Here is a 20,804-nt window from a genome sequence, read left to right on the forward strand (position 1 = left end):
GCTCCATGCTAAAGCCTTCATCGATTGCCCAGAGAGTGGGGGTTCTCAGTTAACGTTGGAACCATACAGCAATGAGGCCTGGGTACTACTTGTAATTTTCTGTTTATTTCTAACTTTATGAACTGCGTCAAGTATACTTCCTAGCATGGGTTCAGTATTTTGCAACAAATCTTTCTGCCGTGGATATAAATTCATGAGCTTCAGGTTTCATTAAAGAGAAGTACACAAATGAAGTACCCAGACTAACATTTGAAAATTTAATTTTATGTTTGTTTTTATTTTTTAAGGGACAGGGTTTCACTATGCTCAGGCTGGACTCAAACTCCTGGGCACAAGTGATCCTCCTGCCTCAGCCTCCTGAGTAGCCGGGACCATAGGCACACACCACCACGCCCAGCTCAAACTAACATTTGACTGCCTTGTGAAATATTACCTAGTCACTATCCCAGGTCCCTGACAGCATAGACCAGCAAAACATTAGAATGACACCAGACCTATTATAACTGCAAGCCATGAACAGGATTTCAAGAAAAGAGATGGAAGAATGTTCAGATTCCTAAAAATCTTCTTAAAAGAGAACTCCTAGCTTTCCACAAAATTCACTTAATTTCTTAAGTGATTTTTATCTTTTAAAAGCACAATAAAAAGCAATCAGATGTTGTGTGTCTGTGCATCTGTACAGCAGTAAAGGTATCTCTCACATGGCATTAAAAAAAAGGCAAACAAATCCAACACACCACTAGAACTCAAATTTGGAGAAAATAGCTGCAGGAAAAAATTGCGCTGTGTGTATAAAGGTTTTTTTTAAAGAGTGTCTTTTCCTGAACTGACATTTCCATTCTTAGTTTTTTGGTTTTGTTTTGTTTTGTTGTTGTTTTGAGACGGAGTCCCACTCTGTCACCAGGCTGGACTGCAGTGGTGTGATCTCAGCTCACTGCAACCTCCGCCTCCCGGGTTTAAGCGATCCTTCTGCCTCAGCCTCCTGAGTAGCTGGGACTACAGGCATGGGCCACCATGCCCAGCTAATTATTTGAACTTTTAGTAGAGATGGGGTTTCACCATGTTGACCAGGATGGTCTCGATCTCTTGACCTCATGATCCGCCCACCTTGGCCTCCCAAAGTGCTGGGATTACAGGCGTGAGCCACCGTGCCTGGCCCATTCTTAGTTTTCTTACTTGGGTATTTTTCCCTGTCTGCCTCAGGGAAATGAGGAAACCAATAGAAGCTTGGCACTTATTTACTTTTCAGTTAGTATATGATGTGATTTATTAAATGTATCTTTAAGTCTCCAACTGGAATCACCCATGTTCTTAACAACTTAGGTTACTCCTTTCAAGGAAATGAACATATTATTACAAGCACAGCCATTCTGGAAAATACAACTGTCCACTACATATAGAAACTTGGCCTCAGATGATTGTGTCTTCTTAGCAAGGGACAGTTTCTATTCCCCTGAACCCCACCTCACAGCTCTGGATGACATGATTGAAGCTAAGGCAAGGTCATTTTCTACCCCGACTCAAATCTCTCTTACAGCAAGTTAACCAGGTGGGGCTTGAGTGGTCCCAAGCTTCACACTCCGAGTCAGGCAGGTTTCTTAGGTCTGCTCCCATACTGAACCGGCTACTAGGGGCACCTGACCACGTAGAACCCAACAGACAGTGACCGGGTAAATACTCAGCACTCGGGTTCTATTCTCCTATTGAATAAAGGCAGCATCAACCTGCCTATGGACAGTGATTGAAAGCATTTCACTCCAAATTGAGCTGCACACTCTGGTGTCTTCAGGCACAGCCAGGCATAGCCAGGACAGTTGGTTGCAACAGGACTGGGCCGACTGGGAGCCCAGTGAGGCAGGGCTGGGAATGGACTCTGTTGCTGGCCTTGGGAGAACACACAAGGGCAAAATGAGAAACTGGAGGTAGCTGTAATCCCTCTGATGTCAGGGACTGTGTCTTACTTCCACTGTGTCTTCAGTGCCCAGCTCGGAGTCTAGCACATAGTAACCTTCCATCAGTGTTCATTGAGTATAGACATCAGAGAAAGCTGGAGTTTGCAGGGGTGATCCTCATCGAAGGGATACATCGTGGTGACCCACTTAGTGGAGGACACTATTGGGGCCCTGGAGATGGTGATACTCAGCAATTCACAGGCATGTGGCTGGCACTCGAGGAGGGAGTCTGTCATCAAATAGGTGGGTCTCGGGACCAGGCTGGGATATAAAGGTGGGACTTTAGGCCTTGGAGACTCTGGCCACAGCAAGATAGGACTAGATGAGGTCAACTGCTCTCCAGAATGGGACTCAGGCCTAGGGGACAGCAGAGACCTAGGTATAGAGAAACAGCCAGGAATGCGGAGCAGTCCAGTCATGAGGACTGAAGTGTAAAGTCAATATGATTGGCCCAGTGATGCTGCTGTGCCCAAGAGCATTCAGCTGGAACTAGAGCTCCCTGCATCACTTCTGCTAAGGATCCAAGGCCAAGGCCAGGGTAGGGGGCACGGACGGGGATCACATGAGAGAGGGGAGGTACAGAGGCCGTGGAATGACTGTGCCTGCCTTCCTGATCCCAGCAAGGTGGGTATTTGCAGGCTGCCTGCACGGCTCAGCAGTTTCTGGAAACTGACTTTTCAGTTTATTTATGATTGTTTTCTTCCCCTCTGAACAAAGTGCATTTAGGTTAAAAACCAGGCAGCACATAAATAAACTAATTGGAAGTGTGTGCACTAAGATTTTAGTGTCTTTTAATAAATTCGAAATTTTAGAGTCTTCCCAAAGCAGAAGTAATATAGGATCCTAGGCTTTACCTGCTAGGAAAACATTGAGTTTAAAAGGAAGAAAAAGGGTTCTTCCTGGTTGAGAAAGGGAGATGGTGGTTATATGGAGAAATTAATCAAAGAATAATGACACTTAAATCCTTGACATAATCATGAGGTTCACTTGCCATCTAAAGAAAACACACACTCACAATGCTCACACCCACTCATACATAATAAAGGCTTTGACGGGATGAGTGGGACCTGCTTGTATGCACTATTTTCTGCAAAGAAAATATGTTTATGGACAATAAACAAATGTCTTTGATTTCAACCATATTATGAATAAAATTATCAGCAGAGTGCTAAGAGCAGATGGCATTTCATCATTTAATAGAGACTAGATATCCTGCTTAAAGCTGCAGTTTGTCTCTTATTAGTTACAAATGTCACAGCCCATGACTCTTAGAAGGAAGTTTACGACCCACAATTAGATATCCTAGAATGTTTAATTCTGCTTGCCTTTGAATTTCTTTTCAAAAGCAGCCCTCTTTCCCTCACTGTTCACTGCCACCTAGTGAATTTATCTGGGAAAGAAACCATAGCTGGGAAGAAGATGCTTTTTTAAAAGACAACAGCTTTCACCAGTGACTTGCCTTGTCAAATGATAATGGAGCAGGAGGATGGAGGCTTTTGCCGAAAAGGCCGTGGCAAGGACAATGAAATTCGACCCATCAGAGCAGAACACATTAACAAAGCCCCTGCCCGGGGGAAGCTTCTGGAAGGAGCAGCTCAGGTGAGCAACTTCTGACAGCTCTGGGCTTCTGATCTGACAGTCTGGTTCAAAAGAACCAAGGACTGTTCCCTTTGATTCCCCTTCGGTTGAACCCAAATGCCAGACGACATGGCGCGTTGCCCATCCTGGGCAGATGTTAAGGGCTTGGTATAGAGAAAGGGTGCGTGGAATGATGAGGCCTGTGCAGGAGCCCCAGTCAACATGGAAGGCATCAAAACCGTGTTAACGAGACCCCCTGGGGGACGATCACAGAACTGAAGCAAGTGGTAATTAGAATGGAAATGTAATGATGTGCCGCTATCCTGCTATCCTGCTTCCCAACCCTGGTGTGGGCCAGTCTCCTCTCACTGTGAATGCAAAGGCTGTAGTCTCCTTTCAAACGCAGAGCAGCTTCTACCCAGGGTCACCCATGCTGTTCCTCCAACACCCAAACAGAAAACTGCAAGAGAGAGGTGGGCATGGTACTGATTCAGTGAGCCCTGCATGGCTCCATGTGGCCCTGCTGGAAAAATCCTGTCTGCTTCAGAAACCACCTTGCCTCTCTCTATTGGGCATGCAGTTGGCAAGAGTGATCTTTGGTGACTCTGTTCTGTCCAGGTTCTTTGCAAGAGCTGGAGAAGTAGATTGCTCAGGTTAGAGGTGTAATTAATACCTCTGCAGCCCCCCAGAAAGATGCACTGAAGATTTGCAGTGGCTACTGCCATTGGCCCATGTGTGTGTATGCATGCCAAGTGTGCATGTGTGGACATATGTGCATGTATGTATATCTATGCCTGTGTATGAATGTGTATGCTTGTGTGTGCCCATGTGTATGTATGTGGGTGTGTGTCAACCAAGAGTGTGGGGGGGAACCAAGAGATCCATACATCCATATGCATGGATGTATATCTGTGTGTGTGTACACATGTGCATGTGTGTGTATGAACATGAAGGAACTGAAGATTTTGAGTCTCTTATTGATGTGAATTGACTCTGAAGGGTGAGTTTTAACGCTGTGATAGTTAAGGGGAAACCAAGACAAAGAAACCAATGATTTTAATAACTAAATGAGGCCGAAATAAAACTCTAAGATTTATTTTTTTCACTCAGGAGACCACTGGCCATTCAGCTCATGACACTTCTCCCCACCAGCTCTTCAGAGTAAATGTTTCTCTCCCCAGGAACGAGTTCAAGTTTTAAAAGATTCTGCATGGGACTGCCTGGGTGCTTCCTGCTAGCCATCACTTTCATGCTCAGAATAGATGTGCCCCATTGCAAAAATGGCACTGTCACTTGGCACTGGGCCACTCACTGATTTGATGCCATTTTTATTGTAATTTACAGTTGTCGATTGAATTGGAAGGCTTGAACTATCCGTGGGGACATAAGCTATTAATATAACAATGCATAAAGAGCCGAAGCACCTCGCCGGGATACTGCAGTTTGAATTATTTTACATACGCACTTCTAAACGCACTCTCAACCTTAGCACTTTGCAGCCTGTGGGCCAGTGTTGCTCACTGCATCCATTTCTCCAAAATCATCATTCCTCTCCAGCACGCTGGATCGAATCCACGTTCAATAGGAAGCAATGAAACAAAGACCACATGTGCTGGTTTTAGCCCATATATGATGTGGCATATAAATAAGCATAGCTAACATGCTTTCCAAAACACGACCCACTTCTCCAGAGTTTAATCATGCTGAGGCCTCTTCCAGAGGGTGGGAGTCCCTTTCCAGGGCAAGTCCACACCAATAGAAATGGCCAGAGCACTCACTGTCCACGAATCAATAAAACCAGAAGATGAACAGGAAGACATAAGGAGCGCAAGTGGAAAACTGGAATGCTACAGTAATGCTCTGAATTTGGATCATATGTGCCCAGTTGTGAGAGGCTGTAAAAATAACCCTCGCCATCCTGTTCTTGGGGAAAAAAAGGCACCAAGCCTTCTGCTGTGATCAGGTTGTTCCCCTCCAAAATTCATATGTTGAAATCTAATTCCCAACACGTGGGTATTAAGAAGTGAGACTTTCGGGGCTGATTAGATCATGAAAGTGGAATCTTCACGAATGGGATTAGTGTCCTTATAAAACAGGCTGGAGGGAACCTGTTTGTCCCTTCTGTCATGTGAGGGCACATAGAAGGGACAATCTGTGAGAAACGGGCCCTCACCAGACACCAGATCTGCTGTTGCCTTGATCTTGAACTTCCCAGCCTCCAAAACTGTGAGCGATCAATTTCTGTTGCTTATAAACTACCCAATCCAAGATATTTTGTTATAGCAGCCTGAACTGACTAAGCCACCTGCTGAATTGACTTCTTTCCCTGGCAACAGTTATGGAGAGAGACTTCTGATCTCAAAATCCCACTCGATGTAGGGAGCTCAGATGTGAGTTCCTAACAGAAATCTAGGCAACTTTGGGGCAAATAATTACTTCTTAACCCAACTCTGCAAATAAGTAAGTTTTTCAATATTAGATAATTCACCCCAAAGTTACAAAACATAAATCACCTAAAGAGGGAAAGGTTGAAGCAGCTAATTTTGCAGGGGACTCACTTTGCTTGGCCATGAAAATAAGTGGGCAGATCTGAACTCTGCTCTGCAGGAGTTGATGACTCAGGAGAGACACCTGAGCATGAGCTACAGAAGCAGTGAAATGGGAACATTACAACAATGCATTCTTTCCCACCTACATTATGTTTAGCTGCATTACATCTTATTCATTCACTAAAGAACAAAAAAAGCAGGCCGGGTGCGGTGGCTCATGCCTGTAATCCCAGCACTTTGGGAGGCCAAGGCAGGCAGATCACCTGAGGTCAGGAGTTCAAGACCAGCCTAGCCAACATGGTGAAACCCCATCCCCGCTAAAAATACAAAAATTAGACGGGGGTGGTGGTGGGCACCTGCAACCCCAGCTACTCAGGAGGATGAAGCAGGAGAATCGCTTGAACCCGGGAAGCAGAGATTGGAGATTGCAGTGATCCAAGATGGCACCATTGCCCTCCAGCCTGCACGACACAGTGAGACTCCATCTCAAAAAAAAAAAAAAAAAAAAAAAAAAGAAAAGAAAAGAAAAGGTGTCATTTGTGGAAGACATCCTGGCATATATGCTATGGATTCTCTATCTATAGTAAATTTTAGAAATAGAATTTTTGAAAAATTTTAATTGCTTAAATGAGTCACAGTGAAGTTTTAAAAAATTCATTCTGATTGCAGACTTTTGTTCTCTGGCTAACAGGAAGGATTAAGGAAGTAAGAAATAATAATTATTGTGATGATAATAAAGTAGCTCATATTTCCTGAGCACTAACTACGTTCTAGGCAACTGTACTAAATGCTTTTAAGTGAATCATCTTTTAATCTTAATTTTCACAATGTTCTTTAAGATAATCTTACCTGTCTGCCTTACCGAGGAGGAAACGGAATTGCCCAAGGTTCAACAGCTAACATAGGACAGAACTGAGACGGAAACTTTGGACTGTTGGATTCCAAATTTAGTGCTCTTAATTATTATACTTATAGATATATTATGTCTTAGGTATTTAGTTTTATATATACTAGTTAGTTTTAGTTTATATATAAACTAGTTTTAGTTTTATATATTTTAGGGTGTCCAGTAAAACACTCATTCTGGTCTAAATTTATAGGGCAGAGTTAGCAAATAGATGAGAGATAAAAGAGAAAAAATCAGAAAACTTCCAAGATAATTATGATAAGAATAGCTATGACTTCTTGAACACGTATATGTCAATAATAATTTATAAATTATAGATTATATAATTTACAATATGCATTATATAAAATATAAATTATATATAAAAATTGTATATTACATATATTATATACAAATTATATATATTATATACAAATTATATATTATATAAATTATAGATTATATATAAATTATATATTATATAAATTATAGATTATATATAAATTATTTATTATATAAATTATAGATTATATATAAATTATATATTATATAAATTATAGATTATATATAATTTATATATATTATATAAAAATTATATATTATATATAAAAATTATACATATTATATATAATTTATTTTCCAAGTCTAGAATACTCTCACTGGATTATTGTGGCAGCCTTCAAACTGGTCACCCCTAATTCCTGTCTCTGCTCTAGTAAATCCATTCCTGTACATTTCCATTACAGTTGTGGTTCTAAAATGCAGATCATATCATTCTCTCCAATATTCTCAACGCAACATTTCTCAACATTTCCTTGACTGATAAAGGAAATACTTCTGAATATGGTTCTCTCTTTTTTTCTTTCTTTTCTTTTTTTTTTTGAAACAGAGTCTCGCTCTGTCACCCAGGCTGGAGTGCACTGGCACGATCTTGGCTCACTGCAAGCTCCGCTTCCCGGGTTCACGCCATTCTCCTGCCTCAGCCTCCCGAGTAGCTGGGACTGCAGGTGCCTGCCAGCATGCCCGGCTAATTTTTTGTATTTTTGTTTTAGTAGAGACGTGGTTTCAGCGTGTTGGCCAGGATGGTCTCAATCTCCTGACCCCGTGATCCGCCCGCCTCGACCTCCCAAAGTGCTGGGATTACAGGTGTGAGCCACCGCGCCCAGCCTGAATATGGTTCTCAAGAACCCCCCAATCTAGTCTCTTACCCTAGTGCCTCCCTAGCACCCATGTGGACAACTTTGTTCAATGGTCACAAGGTCTGAGACCTTCGCTCACACCATGGACCCGACCTGTCCTGCTTTCCTGGCACAGTACAACATAGCGGGCGTGCATATGAACTTTGGAGTCAATGGAACCTGGATTGGAACTCCAGCTCTGCCGCTTTTCAGTGGTAGGACCTTGGACTACCTGTGTAGCTTTCCTAAGCCTTCTGTTCTTCATCTGAAAACATGCATTGTTGAGAGCATCCAGTGAAATCCCAGGAGCACTCCACTTAGCACACAGGATTCAGGAAATGGAAGCTGTTTGTGTTTGCCTTGGGGAATTCTATGCCCTTTCTTAGATCCGGTTTTTGAGGACATCCAGGTATATAGGCCTCCCTCCACCTCGGTCAAGCCTCAGACTCCATCATTGTCACACTCAGGCCTGACATTTGGCCTAAGCCCATACCCATGGTTCAGCTTTCCTTTTACTCCTAGTCCTGATATAATTCCAATGACCTCTTCCTAATATGTACAGTAAAACGCTCAATATAGTCTCAATTTATAGGGCAGAGTTAGAAAAGAGATGAGAGACAGAAGAGAAAAAAAAATCAGAAAACTTCCAAGATAATTACGATCAGAATAGCTATGACTTCTCAAACACTATGTGGCAAATCCTGCTTTAAGTGTGTACGTGCATAGCCATCCCTCGGGGTATGGAGAGGACTTATTCCAGAACCCCTGCCTATGTCCAAATCCAGGCATGCCCAACTCCTACAATCAGCCCTGCAGAACTCCTATACGAAAGTTGGCCCTGTTTATATGTAGGTTTCACAACCCGTGAATATGATATTTTTGATCCTCATTTTGGTTGATAAAAAAAAGCATGTGTAAGTGGACCTGTGTAGTTCAAATCCATGTTGTGCAAGGGTCAGCTGTATTTACTTAATAAATTTTCAAAAGAGTGGTGTAATTTTTAATGGTCCCTTTTATATCTACTACTTAGAGAGATTAAATAACTTATAAAATGATGGAGCCTGATAATTTCTTTTTAACTTTTTTACTTTTGGAGACATGGTCTCCCTCTGTTGTCCAGGCTGGCCTCAAACTCTTGGGCTCAAGTGATCTTCCAGTCTCAGCTTACCAAGTAGCTGGAGCCTAGTTTGACCCAAGGCAACCTGGCTTTAGGGCCTGGGTTCTGAGCGAGTACCTTCTCCCTCCGTTCCCTGTCTGTCTCTTTCCTCAGTTCTCTGTCCCTGCCATTTATACAAACACTGGGGTACAGCACAGATCTCTGGTTTTCACCCCCACGTGCCAGACAGGCGGCTCATCCACTCCTTGTTTTGCAGTCAGCTCAGCAAACCCAGTTGTGGTGCCTGGCTGGCTCTGTCCTTTATGTCAACTTCATTTCCACTGTCTCGATTTCCAGTGTCTCGATTCACCTGAACTTATGAATTTAAAATCACTTATCGCATGTGGTGAAAGGAAACGTCTCCATTTTCTATCAGTTTTGTATCTGAAGTAGCATCCATGCTGGAGCTTCAAAGAATTCATTATAAATATTCGATGGCAGCCAGAGCTTGAGACTCTTGGATGCTTGGAAAAAAACACCTAGAAAAACTCCTGGTGAAAAATATTTCCAAATTACTCTATCATTATAATGATTCTATCATTATCTGCAAGGATAGGCTGGGTTTGGGTCCTGGGAAACTTAGAGAGGTTTTTAGGAAGAGCTGTTTCAAATGACTTTTCCACCCTATTTCCCCCCGACCCCTTAAAAGTCTGAATAAATGAAAGACGTCAACCTTTCCATATGCAGTTACAGTCTAGGATCTGGGATATTTTATTTTATATACTTGCCGGCCTTAGGATAAGCTGCACAGTGAATCAATATGAGAAAAGCCAATCTGTTCAAGATTGTTGAAGTTAAGATTATTGAAGATTATTTCATGCTGAAAATAGAACATATATATATATATATTTCTGATTGATAGGATTTTAGGTGGATTTCATTTCCCCCACCCTACTTCCTATACTTTTTAGCTTTTCTAGAAAAGCTATTTACAGAAAAAGTAAATATCTAAGGGAAAATCAATCATTTGATGACTTTAGTGGAAAAACTCTGAACTAGAAGTTTTGAGTGTTAGATACAGTTTTAACTCTGTGTTAACTTTGTACAAGTCTTTCGGCATCTCAGAGCCCAAGCTTTTGGGTCCTCACAACGTGTGGGTTGGATGGAGCTGTGATGTTTGGACTTCAGGCCCCAAACTCCAGGGTTTCCCCAAGAACCTCTGACATTCCCTAACCCCTTAGCCCTGAACCACCCCAGGTTTCTACCAAAACGGCTCTGTGTTATCTATTATATGTTTTACCTTTTAAGATTCCCCCATACTATTTCTATTTAAAAACACTTGACTTATAACAAAAAAGTTTGAAAATTTCTGGGCTAGGTGTCTTCTCACCTGTGATTTCATAATCCTCTTGTCAATATTATAGCACATGACGACTGCAGGATCTCCCAGAACTTTCTACAGTGATCCTTCCTGCGGGCAATGAAACTCACAGAATTGGTCTGCAATAATTAACTTTGCTTAGCCACTTCCCAGACTTTTTTCTTAAAATAATTACTTGCTGCGGGGTTAGTCTTACGAGTAGATAAAATAGGACTAGGTAGTCTGCTCCTCAAGAGACCCTAGATACTCACCATTGGCTGAAATTCCACGGACATTCATTTATGCTCTATTCCAATTTAGGTGTGAATTAGTTTCAACACATCTTTTGAGATAGGAGGAGAGAGGGAAAAATAACAGTGGGAACCTAGGGATATAGCACATCAGATGATGGGGAAAATGGTGAAGAAAGGAGAAGAAAAGAAAATTGATGACACGTTCTACTTATGTCATACCTTATCCATATTTGGACCTGGTCTTTATGGTCACCATCTCCATGCTGGTGAGCTTCTACCTTCAAATATGCCTGGCTTCTAACACAACACAACACAACACAACACAACACAACACAACACAACACAACACAACACATCTCTCCTTCTGAATAATGCCCATAAACTCTTCACAGAGCAAAGCACAGAGGTATATTCTCTTCCTCTTCCCTTCCTCTTCATTTTGGGATATCCTCTCAGGAGCATCTTGTCTAATTTTAGACATATCCCCCATCAATTATTGGATGACCATCATTACTCAGTTATTTATAGAACTTAATGAAAAAAATTAAGCTGCTTTTACTGGATTTAAGTCCAACCCGTAGACTACCATGCTTTTTGGGAATAGAAGATGCACGTTTCCACCCAGTTAAGTACCTTTTGGGAAAACGCAGGATGCAAAGGAGCTCAGAAAAAGCTACAAGAAAAGAACACAAGTGAGGTGGTCCATAGATTGGAAGATTCTTTCCTAAATGACGGAGCCTAAGGTTTCCTCACCAGCTGTAAGTCTCCTGGAATACCTTCACAGCATGCAGCTTAATCACATTCAACAGATGCACTGGGCCAGACACGGTGACTCACGCCTGTAATCCCAGTACCTCGGGAGGCCAAGGCAGGCAGATTACTTGATGACAGGGCTTTGAAACCAGCCTGGCCACCATAGTGAAACCCCATCTCTACTAAAAATACAAAAACTAGCCGGGTGTGGTGGCGCAGGCCTATAGTCCCAGCTACTCAGGAGCCTGAGGTAGGAGAATCACTTGAACCCGGGAGGCGGACACATTGAGTAATTCCCTACTTATTTCTCATTCACCCAGCTCTTCATTGCACAGGTATGTCAGGGTGCTCTGGACACAGAGGGCCGAGAACCAAGCCGACCTCCCACAATGCAGTGGTTATCTCACAACCCAAAGTTTGAAACGCTTTGGAAATGAAGGGACTTTTAGTGGGAAGGGATACTTCAGAGAAGCTTTTCCTTGTAAATTCTCTCAATTTTATCCACAGCAAATATCTGAACTTCAAAAGCTTACTCAAATTAGATGGATTTGGCTTCTAGTACAACTTTCTTGAGTCTTGAAGATAGTGAGAAAAAAAAAAAAGTCCTGCAGAAATGAATTGCGAAGAGAAGGGCTTGGGAGTTCTCATTTTGGCATGTAGTCCTTAAAGAGATCTGACAGCTCAATTTTCCAATATGATAGGCAGGAAATATGAAATTAGCTCTCAGTTATATCTGGCACAGTGATTACGTGCATGGGAGGTTTCATGTGGGGCAACCTGTCACAGCCACTTTCTGAAGCTTTATTTTCCTGGAATTGAAAACCCAGCCTATAAGAAATTGAAAGCACTTAGGAGAAAGTTGGAGGGAGGAAAGGATTTACTTTTTGTTCTACGTGGGTGTCGTTCCTATCTAATCTCATAACAGAAGCCTCTCCGTCACATAGGTGCCTTGGCCAACAGCAGGCCCTACTGCTGAAGTGAAGAGATGGCCAGCATCCACCCCAAGATGCTTCATTCTCTTCTCCATGTAAGAAAACATTCATTTTAATCAGATCAGCAATATGCCCATCTAATCTAAAATATTGTACAAATGCATCCTCACTCAGATGTGTTCTGTGACTAAGCTTTACCTAATGGGGTCTTAATAGAAATCTCCTGAAACAGGTAGGGGGTAACCTTCTCTCTCTTTTTCCTACTGCAGCCTGGAATACAGATGTGATGCCTGGATCTCAAGTAGCTATTTGGGGCTGTGAGGTGATCCACTGAGGTTGGTGGAGGAGCAAAATTATACCAGAGGCCTGGGTCTCTGTTGACTACAGAACTTCCAAAACAGCCCTGGATTAACTACCTGCAGACTGTTTTTGTCGCAAAAGAGAAATAAATATCTATCCTGTTTAAGCCACTATCAGTACATCTAGTAAGCATTAGTTTTTTTATTATGTGAAGCTGAATGTAAAATGAACTGATATCATTAGTGTATTTATTTCAAATATCAGGCTCTCATTAGTACATAATTGCTAAGATAAGGCAGCACACTCTAAGGGGCACCTTATTTCACTTGCCCGCCCTATGGCCAGAGTCATTATTGGAATAATTAGTTGGAAGGTCACTGAGATGTTTTTCTTCCCTCCCTCCCTATCATCTATCTTTTTTCTATGACAATGAGTAGAATTTTTTAAACTCTAAATTTCATAAAGATCACATTGAAATGATGAATTTAAAATGGCTGAACCCATCCTAAGCTAAAAGAATTACGTACCGTCAGCGATTCCTACTAAGCTGAAGTCAACCAACTACAGACAAGGTATGGTAAGGTACCAGGTCCTCCTTGCTGTAAATTGGAGCAAATGCTGGCTTAGAGAAAGGTCTTCTCTCATTTTCCCCCCATGTTTTATGTGCTTCCCACATTCCACCTGCCATCGAGGTCTACATCGCCATCAAGGTCTACACTGCCATTGAGGTTACGCTGCCATTGAGGTCTACACTGCCATCAAGGTTACACTGCCATCGACATTACAGTGCCATGGGGGTTACACTGCCACTGAGGTCTACACTGCCATCGAGTTTACACTGCCATGGGGGTTACACCGCCATTGAGGTCTACACTGCCATCGACGTTACACCGCCATCAAGGTCTACACTGCCATCGAGGTTACACTGCCATTGAGGTCTACACTGTGGTGCTCACTTCCCTGCTCTAGATCTCTTACTTTGATTTACACCAGACCTCAGTCTCTGCGCATATAATTGCTCAAGTCTAGAACCCCAATCTACTTCTCTAAGCGGGTTTCCTTTCTTTCCAGATGCTCTACTCCCCAGAAAGGGAAGGTGAGGCCACACAGAGCCTATCTATGCCTTCCTGTCCCTGAGGCTCTACGGTGGCCCCGCTCAGTGGCCCTGGCCCCATCTGTGCTGTAACCCCAGCCCGACCTGAGTAGAAAGGCCAGTGAGACACAAAGCCAAGAGAATTTCCCCAGCCACTCTGGTCTCCACGAGCCAGTCCTGGCACTCAGAATGCTGAGGTTAGAGCAAGGGAAATTGCCAACCTTCGGCCAGTGTGGGCCCATGAAGCTGGCGATTTCGTGTGGTTCAACTTAGTCCTAGAGCTCTCACTGTGTGTGGTTCTCCCATCCAGGGAAAACCAAACCATCTCAGGCAAGCCTAACAGAGCAGCTGCCTTTGAAAGATTCTGAGTTGAGTGTGGTATGGGGGCAGGCCTGAGAAGTGTGCCCTTAGATACCTTCAAGGGCTCTGGGCAGTGTTTGAGGGATCCAAATGAACTCAGTTACACCAAGCTCTCCTCCACTGTGGCAGGACTTCTGGTCACGGGGTCCCCACGCCGCAGGGCCCTTCCATCATCCCAGATCCTTACGCGTGGAGTCTCTCTCATTCTCACAACCTCAGCTTACATGTTCCACTTATTCATCACTGCATCTCTGGAGCCAAGCCTGGACCATAAGAGATGGGTCATTTGAAGAGCTATAGGTCGTAGCTCTTTTCATGGTCACTTGTTTTCTTCAGGCCTCCTGACACCCAATAAATTTATTGTCATTTATAAGCTTGAAAACAATAAGTTTAAGCAATAAAATAAAGTTTGTTAGATGGCTGGGCATGGCGCATCATGCCTGTAATCCCAGCACTTTGGGTGGCCAAGACCAGAAGATCACTTGAGCCCAGGAGTTTGAGACTAACCTGGGCAACATAGCAAGACCCCATCTCCACAAAAACAAAAATAAAAAATAAAGTTTATTAGATATGCATTTCCATATCTTCTCTCTATAAAATTATTAATGGAGTTACTATAAATAATTTTAATGGACTATTATATAAATTAATACATTGTCACTTATAACATTGTAGTTTACATCTCTAAAAGATAGAGATTTAAAGAAAATGACCATAATGCCATTCTTATACAATAATTTCTTAATATTCTAAAATGGTGCTTAGACTTTCCTAATTGTGTGTGTGTTTTTGAAAAAGTTGGTTTGTTTGAAGCAGGTTCCAGATAAGGTCCATAAATAGTGATTGACTGGTATGTCTCGCTTCACTTTTAATCTATAGATTTCCCCAATTTCTTCCTTTTTTCTTGCAAATCTTTTTGAACACACTGGGTCATTTGCTTTTACAGTTTCCTGTAATCTGGATTTTACTAATTGAATCTCTGTGGTGTTGTTTATCATGTTCCTCTGTTTCCTGTATTTCTTGTAAATTTGGCAAGACTACATTATCAGTGGTGGTATCTCCTTCCACCCAGGGTTATATATGTCTGGTTTGCTCTCTTTTTGTGATATCATCATCTGTTGATCTCTGCCTAACTCCATTAATTCTTTAGGGATTGCAAATGTTGTCATTCTTATTCTATCATTCCTATATCATTTATTAGTTAGAATATACCCACAACAGGAAACTCCCCTTTATTCACCAATTTTCAAAATTCACCAATTTTTACCATGCCTAGCATCATCCAAATGTGACTGATGAATTTATTTAAAGCATCATTATTCATTTATGGAGTCAAACAAATTTGATATGTTTCAATTCATCCATTACAGTTTTATCCTAATTTGGGATCAAATTGTCTGACCCCAGGAATAAGAACTATTCAGTTTCTCCTGAATCTGTTTGAAACACTCTTAGTAGTCATTTAATTTCTTTGCTTCCTGGTGTGACCATTTATTTAAGGGGGTTGGTTCTTTTTAGTGGGAAATAGTATCTAGATCCATCACTGGTGAGTGAGGAATACTAATTACTACTGGATTGGTTGTTTCTAGGACTTTGCAGGATACAAAATTGGGACATTTAAAGTATTTTCTTTTAAGTATAAATTAAGTCATACATTTATGCTGGTATTTCCATTTCAAAATCAGGACTAGAGTTTTACACAATCTCATCAATTTCCTTTTTCTCACATGATAAAAATCTGGATCTCAATGTCACCAACACCATTTCTCACTTGCTTTATCCACACTACTCACATGACAGCCTCAGAAAAGCAAAATCACCACTACCAACACCAAAGTGACTGGTAATCATTTCAGATTTTTTTAAAAAGATCTTTCTGTCTTTTGGGATGTATAATGAAATCGCTATGACATAAAAGTTGCTTTGCAGTTTGGAGATTTCTGAAGGAACTTAAAATCGAGCTACCGTTTGACCCAGCAATCCCATTAGTGGATATATACCCAAAATCATTCTAGCAAAAATACACCTACACTCGTATGTTTATCACAGCACTATTTACAACAGCAAAGACATGGACTCAACCTAAGTGCCCAGCAATGGTGGGCTGGATAAAGAAAATGTGGTACATATACACTATGGAATACTATGCAGCCATGAAAAAGATTGAAATCATGTTCTTTGCAGCAACATGGATACAGCTGGAGGCCATTATCTTGAGCAAATTAACGCAGGAACAGAAAACCAAATATTGCATGTTCTCACTTCTAAGTGGGAGCCAAACACTGGGTACTCATGGACATAAAGATGGGAGCAATAGATACTGGAGACTACCAGAGAGGGGAGAGAGGGAAGGGACAAGGGTTGAAAAACTACCTATTGGGTACTATGCTCACTATCTGGCTGACAGGATCATTTATAACCCAAACCTCAGTGTTACACAATATACCTGTGTAACAAACCTGCATGTGAACCCCCAAATCTAAAATAAAAGTTGAAATTGTAATAAAATAAACCAAAAGTTGCTTTAAATAGTTCCTCCCTGTGTGTTTATGCCATCAACCGATGTATATTTAGGATTTTTTAAAAAATATTTAGGAGTTGTTTAAAGTTAACTTTTTAATATTTATGCAACATGTTTATATCATTCTAAATCTCTGAGACAAGATACAGCCAAAGCTCATAGCTTCTATCATTATCTCATTCACTTTGCTGCATCATTTTTCCTGTGGGTACCAGTTAACCATTCTGTGTTTGTGATTGGTGAACTTTGCTGTATTTTAAAAATATAAATAAAAGTGTGTATATATTCATATCTTCCCTTTTCTAGAAAACAGCATATACTTTCTCACCTCACTTTTGCATATAATAATATATCCTGAAAATCACTCTATGGTTGTACATAGAAGAGTTGCTCATTTCTTTTTAGAGTTATGCGATATTCTTTCATGCGGCTGGACCACAACTTATTTACTCAGACACCAATGGATAGACTTTTGGGTTATTCCAGGTTGCTTTTCTTTTGCTATGATAAATAATGCTGCAAAGAGTAGCCTTAGGAATAAGTGTTTTTGTATTTTTGGCAATCCATCTTAGGGGCAGATTTCCAGAAGTGGACCAAAGAGTAAATGCATATGTGATTTTGCTATACATGTTGTCAAATTCCCTTTCATAGAAGCTGTACCTTCTTACATTCCCACCAGCAATCTCTGCAAGTGCCTCATTCTTCACGGTCTCTCCAATAAAATTCATTGCCAACCTGTGGGCTTTTTTTCCCTCTGTAGAGAGAAATGGCATTTTCATGTCGCTTTAATTGGCATTTCTCTTACTATTAGCGAGACCAGCATCTTTCTTAAGTTTCAGCTCTATTTTCAGATAAGTGCATTTTAAAACAACTCATAAGCTATGCATCATCACTTAGCCTTAATTTATGGGTTGTATTTTGTGATACTGATTAAGTGCATTTGAGCAGACTATTCAGCAGATCCTTGGGGGCACTGATCACCAAATCTGTCTGAAGGTTCTAGAAATCTCTTCTACTTTAGGACAGCACACTTGAGAAGTAGTATTATGAGGACTGAGGTTTAAACTCTTTGGCATATCTGGGGTATGTGATTGGAAATGGGTCTGAATTGGAATGTTGCCTTAATGAACATGTGTATACAGCTTCACTATTTACTCAAATGAGAATTCTGTACCAACACAAACCAGATACCTCTTCATCAAGAACTTAACCCAATTAGGGAGTCCTGTTTAGCAAAAAGAAGGACTGGGGAAATGGTTTGCTTAAAATAGCCTTGGAGAAAGAACACACTTAAAGGCTGGGTTTTCGCATAGGAAAAATAAGACAGAGAATTGAAGAATCAATGATATGCCCCTCATATTTGCTAAAGAGATGAAATAGAATGAATTCCTGAAGGGCAGGGATAAAATGAAAAAGGACTGATAGAAGAAAATTACTCCATAGAAACAAAAACAAACTCAATGGGGAAAAGTAGAAAGAGGCAAGAGCAAAATTCCTATGGACTCCTACAATCTCAAAGTCTCTGGCTGCCATGAGACCTTCCCAGATCTTTGTAGGTCATGTAATTTTTCACACTTTTCTGACTTATTGATAAGGTCACCCATTTTTGTACTTTCTTGATAACATTCAATTTACCACCTTATTGTTCATATCCTATCTCTTATTACTTTCTATTTGTTTCACTTACATGAAAGGCTCTCCAAGGGTTGAAGAGCCCAAGAGATTCCAAGCTCCTCACCCTCTGGAAGATTAGACATCTACATAGTTTCTTGACTGAGAAACAAATATGGACTAGGGAGATACTGGTTGAATAAAAGCATCTCAGAAAAAAAAAAAAAAAGCCTCCAAAGAAGCTTCTCAGAAGAAGCAATGGGTGAGATATTGTACCCTGAAAAACCTGAGAAGGAATCATTCATTTGTTCTCTTCCATAGTCAGTTCCTTAGTAGACCATAATTTCCAGTTTGTTTCACTGTTGGATGAAAGTTACAAAGAAAGTGAAAGTTCTGCAAAGAAGGAGAAGAGAGTAGCAAAAGAATGTAAAATGAGTGTTACACGAAAAAGGCAACAGATATATAGTTGTTTCTTTTAAAGGACATAAAAATAGAGTGTCCCAATTGCTGTCATCCCCTGCACTTAAATTTGAACATATTCTCCTGCCGCAGAACAAAATACATAATCCAGTGTGTTTCCCTTTGTGTCTAAGCTGCCAGAAAAATTGGAGCAAAATTCATCAAGAATTTGTGTCAACTTCTCAATGTAATGCCTAGAAGTTTACATTATTTCCAGTTCTTAAAAATGCTTTGACCAGGTTCGGTGGCTCACGCTTGTAATCTCAGCACTTTGGGAGGCTGAGGTGGGCAGATCACTTGAGGTCAGGAGTTTAAGACTAGCCTGGCCAACATGGAGAAACCCTGTCTCTACTAAAACTACAAAAATTAGCCGGGTGTGGTGGCGGGCGCCTGTAATCCCAGCGACTCAGGTGGTTGAGGCAGGAGAATCGCTTGAACCGGGAGGCAGAGGTTGCAGTCAGCCAAGATCACGACACTGCACTCCAGCCTGGGCCACACAGCAAGACTCCGTCTCCCTCCCCCAAACCCACCAAAAAAAAAAAAAAGTAAAAAAGGTTTTCAACTCGGGAGGCTGAGGTGGGAGGATCACTTGAGCTCAGGAGGTCAAGGCTGCAGTGAGCTGAGATTGCGCCACTATATTCCAGGCTGGGCAACAAAGCGAGATGCTGTAAAAAAAAAAAAAAAAAAAAAAGCTCTTTTCTTTATTTTTAAGTGTTTTATCCATGAGCCATAGAAAATACTACAGATGTGGTTAAAAAAAAAACAAGTATGCATACACAAACTGCTGTCCAATATAGAAGAAGGATTTTATAAAAAGGTCATCCAAAACTTTGTCTAGTTTAGAAGATCAAATAAGGAGAAACTGGTTCATGAAAATAATGAAAAGAATTCACTCAAAAGAAAAAAAATTCCTTCTTGCCCATGATCAAATGTGGAAACGGGGGTGCTGACACGGACATCCCTGTCTTTGAAAACAGCAAACTTGAGAGATTTTATAAATTGTAAGTGATCTGTAAGGCTATTCTCTTTTATAATTATTCAAGATGAGAATGCAGAAATAAACATTCGGGACAATGGAGGCATTCACCCATTTATTGAGACGGCAAGACTGGAAGATACTCCAAAAAATGGTCCATCTAGTCACCTGAAATATATTAGAGCAGCTTTCTTGCTAACAAAACAAAACAAAACAAAACAAAACAAAACAAAAACCTGTAAATTCCTTGTTATCTGAAAACCACTGCAGAGGCATTTTTCTTCTGCCACCATTGAAATGTTTTAATCTGCCAAACATACCTCAGAATTCTTTCACAAGCAGTTACTTTTTTCTTTTTAATGGTTATTTAAATTTTTTAGTTCTGTGTATTTTATTTTATTATTATTATTTGTTTTAGAGATAGCGTCTCCTTCTGTCACCTAGGCTGGAGTGCAGTGGTGCAGTCATAGGTCACTGCAGCCTTGAATTCTTGGGCTCAAGCTATCCTGCCTCAGCCTCCCAAGTATCTGGGACTAAAGGCATGCTAAAAATTTTTAAGAAATGTGAGAAAGTACACATATCATAAAATTTACCTTCTTTATTTTTAAGTTCAGTAGTGTCAATTACATTTATGTTGTTGTACAAGTAATCGCCTAAACATTTTCATCTTGCAAAACAGAAATTTTGTATCCGTTAAACAATTATTCCCTCTCTACCCTAGCTTAGCCCCTGATAACTATCATTCTGCTTTCTGTCTCTGCGAATTTGACTCTTCTAGGAATTCATGTAAGTGGAATCCTACATTATTTCCTTTTATGACTGGTTTATTTCACTTAGCATAATGTCCTCCAGGTGCACAGGCAATATTCTACCCTCGATTTATTTATTCTGCTTTTTAAAATCATGAGTCTGTCTATGCCATGGGTTTCCCTGAGGCATGGATCCA

At 41.0% G+C, this 20,804-nt stretch overlaps 1 protein-coding gene across 2 annotated transcripts in view, besides 2 other annotated features; it reads right to left on the reverse strand.

Annotated features, from left to right (window-relative positions):
• Positions 1-20,804, reverse strand: part of FRMD4A (FERM domain containing 4A) — a 687,219-nt gene that overhangs the window by 446,869 nt on the left and 219,546 nt on the right. Inside the window, exon 3 of one of the 2 annotated variants that reach the window (NR_134578.2) lies at positions 6,436-6,564. The exons of the other annotated variant lie outside the window; for it this stretch is intronic. The gene's annotated coding sequence lies outside the window, so the exon portion shown is untranslated. The remainder of the gene's footprint in view (positions 1-6,435; positions 6,565-20,804) is intronic. 2 annotated transcript variants of the gene reach the window in all.
• Positions 3,367-4,057: an enhancer, noted in NCBI's record as "NANOG hESC enhancer chr10:14135940-14136630 (GRCh37/hg19 assembly coordinates)". NCBI's record gives its function as "activates a minimal SCP1, AML or CMV promoter by ChIP-STARR-seq in naive H9 embryonic stem cells {active_cell/tissue: H9 hESC(naive)}" and the evidence as "EXISTENCE:reporter gene assay evidence [ECO:0000049][PMID:30033119]".
• Positions 7,988-8,487: an enhancer, noted in NCBI's record as "H3K4me1 hESC enhancer chr10:14140561-14141060 (GRCh37/hg19 assembly coordinates)". NCBI's record gives its function as "activates a minimal SCP1, AML or CMV promoter by ChIP-STARR-seq in naive H9 embryonic stem cells {active_cell/tissue: H9 hESC(naive)}" and the evidence as "EXISTENCE:reporter gene assay evidence [ECO:0000049][PMID:30033119]".

The sequence above is a fragment of the Homo sapiens genome, chromosome 10, assembly GCF_000001405.40.
Source record: "Homo sapiens chromosome 10, GRCh38.p14 Primary Assembly".
NCBI lineage: Eukaryota > Metazoa > Chordata > Mammalia > Primates > Hominidae > Homo > Homo sapiens.